The sequence below is a fragment of the Homo sapiens genome, chromosome 18 (assembly GCF_000001405.40).
Source record: "Homo sapiens chromosome 18, GRCh38.p14 Primary Assembly".
NCBI lineage: Eukaryota > Metazoa > Chordata > Mammalia > Primates > Hominidae > Homo > Homo sapiens.
This window is the reverse complement of record NC_000018.10, coordinates 48332328-48341592: the sequence shown is the minus strand read 5'-3', so window position 1 is coordinate 48341592 and position 9265 is coordinate 48332328. Positions and strand designations below refer to the sequence as shown.

The 9265-nt window shown below is 48.2% G+C and overlaps 1 protein-coding gene across 15 annotated transcripts in view, besides 2 other annotated features; it reads left to right on the top strand.

Annotated features, from left to right (window-relative positions):
• Positions 1-9265, top strand: part of ZBTB7C (zinc finger and BTB domain containing 7C) — a 385914-nt gene that overhangs the window by 70993 nt on the left and 305656 nt on the right. For 10 of the 15 annotated variants that reach the window (NM_001371287.1, NM_001318841.2, XM_011525864.3 and 7 more), the window contains one exon: positions 3195-3419. The exons of the other annotated variants lie outside the window; for them this stretch is intronic. The gene's annotated coding sequence lies outside the window, so the exon portion shown is untranslated. The remainder of the gene's footprint in view (positions 1-3194; positions 3420-9265) is intronic. 15 annotated transcript variants of the gene reach the window in all.
• Positions 6023-6523: an enhancer, noted in NCBI's record as "H3K4me1 hESC enhancer chr18:45861441-45861941 (GRCh37/hg19 assembly coordinates)". NCBI's record gives its function as "activates a minimal SCP1, AML or CMV promoter by ChIP-STARR-seq in naive H9 embryonic stem cells {active_cell/tissue: H9 hESC(naive)}" and the evidence as "EXISTENCE:reporter gene assay evidence [ECO:0000049][PMID:30033119]".
• Positions 6524-7024: an enhancer, noted in NCBI's record as "H3K4me1 hESC enhancer chr18:45860940-45861440 (GRCh37/hg19 assembly coordinates)". NCBI's record gives its function as "activates a minimal SCP1, AML or CMV promoter by ChIP-STARR-seq in naive H9 embryonic stem cells {active_cell/tissue: H9 hESC(naive)}" and the evidence as "EXISTENCE:reporter gene assay evidence [ECO:0000049][PMID:30033119]".

Genomic DNA, 9265 nt, shown 5'->3' with positions numbered 1-9265 from the left:
ATGTTTAATGAGCACCTACCAAGGGCAGGCCCTGTGCTGTCACCAGCCCTACAGTGGCGAATAAGACCTATCTCGCTGATGGGTGATGGGGTGGGAGCCTGTCCGCTCTCCTCAGATCACACCTCTGCAGGTCTTCCCTGGGGACTGAAGTGGCTTCCTCACTAAATTCAGCTCCCTGGAGAGGAGGCTGCTTTTCTGCAGCTAAATCTTCAGAGAGAATCCAAATGCAGCCACAGGCCTTGCCTCCTACAGCCTGAGACCGAGCCAGGGCTACATCCTCAGGCCCCTGGCAGTTCCACCTCTCCTTATCCTATCCTTCCTTCCTCTGCCCACATCTCCGGGGGAAAAGAGCTCCAAGAAGTAGTCAAGAAGGCTGAACAGATATTGTCTTTGTATCTCCTGGGAACAACATGATAAATCCAAAATCACAGAATGGATGGATGGAGGGGTAAATAAACAAGTGAGCAAACGAATGAGGAAACAAACAGAAACTCAGTTCCAGCTCCAAAGGAACTGAAAATTCAGATGAAAAGAAATGGCTTGTAGAGTGGTGGCACTGTGGTACTGAAGGGGGCCCTTGGGAACAGACTCACCTCCTTCTTTTATGAGAAAGGAACCGCAGGCTCAGAGGAGGGGGGCTGCCGCAATGCCTGTGACAGAGTGCAGAGGTCAAAGAATGGCGAGATCACCCAGGGTGGTGAGATCCAGAACCAAGTGCAAGGCTGCCCTAAGTGTCCCTTGTCCTTGGAAAAAATTGCCTTTTCATATGGTTGGGAGTGGACGGTGCAGTTTTTCTTTGAGGGTTAATTGTTTTGCTGACAGCACAGATAATTAGGAATGAGAATCCCGGAGTGAGGGCGACAGCACCATCTGCTGTGAATATGTTTCAACCCCAACTTGCAGGAGAGCTTGGAAGAGCTCCTATCCTCACCCTCCCCACGCCAACAAAAATGAATGTGCTGTAGCTGTTTGCCTCTGGGGCCACAGCTGCCAGGTGACCTGCAGCCAGTCGGGGTGGGATGGTGACCGGCTTCTTAAGAGTGTAGTTTCTTCTCCTTCCCCCATGGCATCTTCTGCACATAGCAGGGCTCACTGAAAGTCCCAAGGCTGAACAAGGATCCATGGACAGCCTGGGACAAAGAGCGATGATGCCAGGGGCAGATTTTCTGCTCTTCCCTGAGCCTGAAGTCTGGAGATCTAGTCTTCTGTTGACTAGAGGTGGGCACTTAGGGCTGCACTGAGCTACATGGCTGCCATTAAGGTTTGAAGTTATTTTCCTGCCAAACTCTATGGATCTGCTACCTACCCTGGGTTTCCTGGCCTTTGGCCTATGTTACTTGTTCCAGAAGGAGGTTGGCCCTGCCTTTCCTTGCTAAGTAGGAATGTCCTAGGTTGTGAGTTTCTCTATGTCATGAGAAGAGCTGCTTTGGAATCAAGCAGAGAATCCCATTGTCCAGGAGCAACTGAGATCTTTCGTCAAATGGGCAGACTTCTATGAGTTGTTTTCATTTTTATTATTTAAGAATATATTCCACACATAGAGTATATGAAATGTATATGTGCCTTTTGGAGATAATAATAGTTGTTTTGCTCTTTCGAAGGGGCTTCTAACCTCTGTTGCTTTGCAGAGAAGTGACTTGGAGTGTGAGCTGTAGAGGGCCAAGTTGCTGGGAGGCTCAAGGTCAGCCTAGCCTCTCCCAAAGCAGTGGCTGTTTATCGCAGCCAATTTCTTTGTGCCTGAGCCGCTCCTGTTAACTAGGAGCCTCCACATTCTTGTCTTTCTTATTTATCACTCTGTTATCTCTGTGCTTTCTCCTCTTCGACCCTCCTATGAGGGAAGAATCCAAAGGCATGATTGTTCTCCTCTTCTCCCCATCCCCCCATAGCAGGGCAAACAGGCCAATGTCCCCCTCCTCCTTCCCATTCCCACTCATCCCCCACCCCTGAGGTGACTTGGAAGGAAGATGAAATTAACCTAGGGCCAGGGAGCTTGCTGGAAAGAATGATAATTGGCTGTTTCATTTACTTACGGTGTGATCTTTAGCAAGCTTCTCAACCTCTCTGTGCATCTGTTTCCTAGTCTTTCAAACACCCCTCCACAGAGCTACTGAGAAACTAAATGGATCCCCAATGGATGCAAAAGCAGCTTGAAGAGAGTCTAATCATTATATATGTGTCCCTTCCTTCTTTTGCCACTCTCACTCCTATCTCTGGGGCTTCCCCTTGTCTGCAATGCTGGGTGTCCCGATGGATGTTCTTCGTCTGCCACGGTCTCTTCTCAGCAATGGCCCACTGAGGCCTGGAGGAGCCCATGGTTGGGGTGGAGCTGAGAGTCACAGCCAGGTGGGTACCCCAGGAGCCTACTCTTTTCACCCCCAAGAGATGGGGGCTGTGCCTGCTCAGAGATGCAGGGCTGTAGCCACCTTGGACTTGTCCGGAGATGGGCAGACCTCCAGGCTGGGGCAGGCTGCTTCAGCCAGAAGGACTTTGGCCCCTCCTGACACAGCATAAGGCACAATCTTGGCTATGAAATGTGATGGCTCTGTGGAGCCGGTGTCTCTGTTCCTCATCTCAGCAAGGTTTGTGTTTCCACTTTTGTCTCTCACTCTGAGATGACGAACTATGAAAAGATGTTCATCATCAGCCATAGGTGGGGTGTCCTACCTGGACCCCCCCCCCCCAACAAACTACAGAACACCAGAAGCCTTGCTTGGGAGATCTGGGATAGAAGAGTTAAGGAATGTTCCACATAAACGTGTCCTTGCACTTCTATATACATCTCACATGCGAGAACATGCATCTCCTTTCTCTTTCCTGGGGTGATGGAACAGCGTGAGGTTCTGTTGGTCAGTCTGGGCTAAACTCTGAACGATGGCTAGGGTTTGGATGCAGGATTAGAAGGTGAGTCTTTCAGGCAGATGAAATGAAATATGCTGAGGTAAGAAAGGAATGAAGGGCGTGTGTGTGCATGTGTGTGCGGTGTGTGTGTGTGTGTTGAGGCCTGGGCCTGGGTTGGTGGGCAGGACACTGTCAGTGAAAACCCTGGATGAGATCGAGTTGGTATAGTCATGAAGAATTGCAGGCCCTAATAATAAAGAGAAAGAGAAGGATGGCTAGAATTTTCGAGAACAGCTAAAACCTGGACATGTGTTTCTGGCCCTGGTGGGTGATGGAGCCCTCTGTTCTTCCTGCAGATCCCCTCTGAGCAGCTGGGAGCTCAGAAGCTCTGTCCAACCCTGAGGAGTGGGTCAGCCACAAGAGCAAGAAGTGATGGCGTGGAGTCCACCCAGGGCCTGAGGCATGAGCAGAATCCACGCCCATTAGACCTGGAGCCTGGGCGTTTGGGGCTGCACTGCTGGGGAGATCCAAGAAGAATCAATGCTTTGGCCCCTGGTGACATGTACATGGTGTAATGACAGGTAATGAACCTGAGGCTTGTCTATCCTTTATGAATGATATGGCAGGTAGGAGAATATATCAGCTTGCAGTAAGCATAAAATGTCAACCTGTGGGAAGATAACTATGCAAACAAAGCACACTAAGGCCTGATAAGATGATAGATGGATGCTTTATAGTTATTAGTTTCTGCCCCATGTGCTTGCTGGAGCCAAGCACTGGAAGATTTAGCATTAGATGGGTTCACTTCCTATGCCTTATGGGAAGGCCTGATGCCTTTATGGACATAGCATGTCGTATTTGAGGAGCTCAGAGTAACAAATCAAGAAGTCATTATTCCCCATCAGCTTCTGTGGGAAACAGGGAGTTCATGCCAGTGGAGAAACAGAGGGAGCGAGAAGTGAAGAAGCTCTTTCATCGTGTCCATGATGTGTGAGGAATAGACCTGGAGACCTCAGTGGTTGGGAAGCCTTTAGGTCTGGTTCAGATATGTCAAATGACAGGTGTGGTGATGGATGAGTCCTGCTTGTTAAAAACAGAAGGCTTTTTGTCTTGCCATTCTTTCAAGAATGCCCAGGCAATTAGCAGATGATCAAAGGTGGATGAGGTAATGAGTAGGGGTCTGGAGAGGACAGTAGGGGCCTGTCAGATACCTTGGGTCTAGCAGTTGATTCAGGGAAGTCAGCCAAGCCTGGAAGCATCAAGCAAGTCTCTAGGGCCTAGAAGGCAAGGCCTTGAGACTAGAAGGACAGGGGCCAGCCAGTAGGCTGGAGACCCCAAAGGTGGGTTCTGATCCAATGGCACAGCCTGTTCCCATGGATTTTCTGGTCTTTGCTGTGTGCGTCATATGAGGTACCACCCTGGCAACTTCCACCGTGGGGAAAATGGTAGGCTGGGGTGGAGGCAAAAATAGCTTGGGGCCTTGGGAAACTGACCAAGGCAAGGGGAGAAGGGCCAGTGGCCTGGGGCAGGAGGCCCAAGAGGGTGTGGTAAATTCCTTTTCAGTACAGGCCAGTGTCAGGGTCCCCAGGGTCAGAGCCAAGGGATGGGGAGGAGCAGAACATTAGGACTTCTGGGTGGCCTTGTTCTAAATTAGGCAGAAAGGATAAGTTGAAGAAGGAATCTAGAAAGCTGAGCCCAGCTCTAGGAAGTGGATCAACCAAAGGTGCTAGGTGGGCTCGGAACTGGACTCCTGTCTATATAAGGAAATGGAGAAAGAATTGAGCTCCAGGGTCTCTGGCAAGGGGTAGTCAGGGACTGGCTATGACTGGAGGGGCTGAGCTAGGGAGCTGGCTTAAATATGACCTGTATGTACTGGCCCTAGGCTATCCCCAGACCCCACCTCTCAGTGGGGCAAGTGGTCTGTACTTCTTGGACTTGGCTGGGGACCTGGGCAGGGCTGAAGCTGGGGAGCATCCTGGGGGACTGGGTAGGGGCAGAAAATATCCAATCCTGGAGGTAGGTGGGTGAGGACTTTCAAGTTTGTAGTCTCAGGAGGCTAACGGGCAACATGCCTCCTGATGAAGACCAGAAAGAGCCAGGGACTGGGTCTGTCAAGCGCTCTTCTCCTATGTTACTAATGTTTACTGATTACCTGTTGTGCACCGAGCACTGTGCTCACTGCCGGAAATGCAGAGAATGAGCTGCAGTTTGCTTCCACGGGAGGGAGTGTGGAGCCTGGTCAGGCCTCTGGAGGCTTCAAGCTTCTATCTTCAAAAACAGGGACGATACTATCTCACTCATAGACTAGTGGGGAGAATGAAATAAAGTAAAACATGTAACACACTTAGGACAGCAGCTGGCACCATAATAAGTGATCGGTACATGTAGCTTGTTTCCGTGATTCTGCTTTTGGAGAAGCTCACAGTCTGGTGGGGGGTGAGAGCCAGGAAGGCTGGGAGAAGTGCCTTCTAACTTCCAGGGATTCTGACTGCTAACAGGGTTGGGGGCCTGGGCTTTGAAAACTGGTTATCAGAATTTCTCTGGCCACAGAAAATGTGGTTTTAGGTGGACCCTACCACTCGGAAATGGTGACTGCATTTAAGTGCTTTGGCAGTTGCTGGGCACACAGAAAGACTGGAGGCAGGAGGGGTGGGTCCAGGAATTTAGAGAAGTGTTGAGAAAAGAGGACATTCTCCGAATGCTTGGAGAGTCTTGACTCCTTGTCTTCCAACTCAAGGGGAGGGGTGTGCAAGAAGCCAAGGCAAGACTTGTGACCTGGAGTGAGGTGGCCCAATAGCCACTGGGGCGGGCTTCAGATGCAAGCCACGTGTGTCATTTTAAATGTGGTAGTAGCAGCATTTAAAAAAGTAACAATAAGCAAGTGAAATTAATTTTAATGATATATTTCATTTCACTCAGTAGGTCTAACATATTATTTTAACATGTAATTAGCATAAAAATTATGAATGAGATATTTTACATTCTTTTCATACAAAGTGTTTGAAGTCTACAGTGTATTCTGTACTTGTAGCACCGTCTCAGTTTGGACCAACCACATTTCAAGTTGGCTAGTGGCAACTGTGTTGGATAGCACCAATCTAGACTCTAGAATATCTTGCCAAGGAGCACCCAGGGGCCAGGGGTATCCTGACTAGACATCAGGATTTACTATGAAATGTCTATAACGAATCCCTGGGGACATTCTCTTGAATAATAAGAGATATCTTGAATCACTTATTCTAGATGGTGACTTATGTTCTCTGGAACCAGCCCTGACTCCAGGTCTCAGCAACTGGATTCAGGACTCTGCCGCTTGCTGGGTCTAGGACCTTCAGGCGGTTCCTGAAGGTCTCTGAGCCTCAGAAGCTTCCCTGAAATTGGAACTAATAAATTCTATCTTGCTAGGTAACTATGAGGACTAAATAAAATAATGAATAATTGCCCCGTGACGATCAATTTCAAGAAGTAATTCTTCTTATTTTCCTAAATCAAATAAAAACAAATTTGGGTTTTCCTATTGGCTAAGTTTGGCAGAAAGTTTCCTAACTGGCATTTCTGTAGTTCTGTCTCCACTCTCCCTTTGCATGAGAACCGGGCCACTTTGCAGGCCAGCACAAATAAGGAGGGGTGAGGCCTGGGCCTTAGCCCCTGGTGGTGACAGCTGCCTGTGGTGCCCCTTTATCCAGACCTGTGTGGTCAGCTGGAGGAGGCAGCCCCCTGCAGCCAGCTGGTGCTCTATCTATGCCAGCTCTGCCACAGGGGAAGCTAGAGTGCCCAGGCCACCATCTCTAGGGGGCCGACAGCACCGAGGCACTGCACTCCAGTGGAGTGAGGGTTGCCAGCCACTCCAGGTCCCAAGTCATCCCACCTCTCTTGGGATCCAACCCAGGGATCCTTCTCTAAAAGCTCCATGTCCTTCATCCCTCTGTCTCCTGCCTCCCAGCCTCAGTCTTTGAAACAAAGGCCTGTTCCTACCTTACCATGTCCCCTTGCTTTTCCCAGAAAGAAAAATTCAAATAACTTCCCCTTAGGGTAGGGAGTTCAGATCTTATTGTCACGAAATATGGCTGTTCTTTTTGGGACTGGAGGGAGTACACATTTTATTGTCCTGTGAATGGCAGCTCTGGCCACTGCCCTATGCCCAGCCCCATCTGAAGAATGAGTTAAATAGCGCCTGCCTTCTGGGTTTTTTCAGAGCCTCAAATGAGATAGTGTATGTGAAGGTCCTTTATAGAGTTATCAAATGTTATTGAGACTCTTAGTTCCCTACCTGGGGGTGTTTTCGGGTCTGGGAGCTGGGTTTGAGGCTGCAGATTTGATTTAAAAGATGCCCCTTCTCTTGGCATCTCATGGCAGATGGTGCTGCCATAGGACTCAACTAGGTGTTCCCATGAGGTGCTCCCCCTAGGTGCTCTATCCCCCGGGGTGAGTGCCTCTGAATTAACCCCTTGCCTCCTGTTCTCCTTTGGGAGAGGGGAAGGATCTGGGTGTTGGTGGCAGCAGTAGGTTTCCCTGACATCTTTACTTTCCCTCAGCCTGTTGTGTGTGGGGGGTCTCTAGCCAATCCTCCTGAGTTTGGAATCCACCTAGATTATTGTGAAAGCTCATAATCCATCCTTCCTGGGACTTGGGAGCATGCCATGGATCTAAGTAAGTCCTGTAGGTCCTCCTTGCCTCCCTGGCTTGGGTCTGGTGAGGATTCTGTGATAGGGAATGGGGGCTCCAGGCAAATCCCATGTCCTCTGGGCCTGGCGTGGAGGAAGTAGGATCAGGAGGTGCAGGTGGGTGACATGAAAAGTAACTGGGCTTAAGCTGCACTGGAATCAGGGCAAAGTCTGCAGGATAAATGGAAATTCTCTGGTCCTGGGCATTGAGACAGTGTTTTCAAGGTTGGGTCCACATTTGACTGTGTGTGGTTGGGTTAATGGGCCTTTGATGCTCGCTGCAGTGGTATTTGGGTCACTCGTGTTGCTGCCTGCCTCTCTAGACTGGAGAGCCCCCGCCCCCTTTAGCAGCTGGCTGCTGCTTCCTGCTGGCTCTCCTGGGCCCCAAGCTCTCAAGGCTGTCACGAATCCTAAAAGAGTCCTTCAAACCAGTGTCACTGTGACTTAACATCTATTTCAAAAGATGATCTATGGCACATTTGGAGGACAATGCAGAGGGGGGTGTCACAAACTCAAGCACATTTGGATAAGGTTATTGACCTGGCTTTTTCTTAGTTTGCTATGTGACCCAGTGCAGTTCTTTTAAGTTCCCCAGACCTTAATGTTCTCCTCTATTAAATGGGCATGAGAGTCTGTACTGCAATGATTTAATCCTGTTTCCAGGTGTACATGCGCTCTAAAAGTAAAAGGTGCTGTGGATCTTACTTGCTAAAGATTTGAGAGAATTATGGCAACACTCTTTCCTCACCGAGTCTGGCAGTGTATAAATTCTGTTTCTTTAAAATTAGTATCTTTATTGCTTCCTGGGAGCCCAGGGGGAACAGCTTCTGCTATATCACCTTAAGTTTTGCAGCAGGGAGAGGAAGAAAGCTACATTGCCCTTGACTGACAACCTTCATATGAGTATTTAACAATTTTAATTTTTCATGATTCTTCTGATAAAAATAGTACCCGACTAAAAACAAATACATTTGTATTTTCCATCTCCTTAATTAGTTTCTAATTTGGGGGTTCTTATTAGCTTAAAATCATCTTGCTGAAATGGTCCTTGGATGAAAAAAAAAGTGAAAACCACAATCAATTCTAGAGAGATCTTACTATTTAATTATGCTGATTGGAGCACTAGAGACCCCTGGTAAAACAAACCTCTCAGAATAAGCTTGATTTGTGTAATTTGGTTTTTAAAAATTTGGGATGCATATTTATCATGTTCGACTATGTGTTGTTGCTCTCCTTGAGATTCTGACTTGTCTTGTAAGAGATGAGGGGAGGAAGCCATGGACTGTTGAGACCCTGGGACTTTAGCTAAGCCCATGGAGTCACTGGTAGGGGCTGGCCTGGAGGGAATACGAGGTCCCTGGCTTGCCTGGTAATTGGAAAATGGCTTTTCTTAAAAAAAAAAAAAAAAAAAAAAAAAGCAAAGGAGAGGTAAAAGGTCACCAAAAAACAGACTAGGAAAGGGTAAACTGATAGAATTTTGGAACTGAATGGTAGGAGAGCATCTTCCATGAAATCCTAGAAAATTAGCAAATCCTGGGTTATAGATGTATTTAGAACCAAATTCTAGAATATAATATAACTTTGGAGACACTGGGAAGACCTAGTTGCTCAAAAAGATGTGCCTCCCGCCATCCAAACCCCCAAATCAATTTATGCTTTGCTACAAGTGGGACAGCCAGCTGCCATGTGAAAGGGAGGACACTGCACCGACCATAATGTTTTCTTGCCATGAGGCTGAAGCTAATGCTGATAAAGTGATAGCT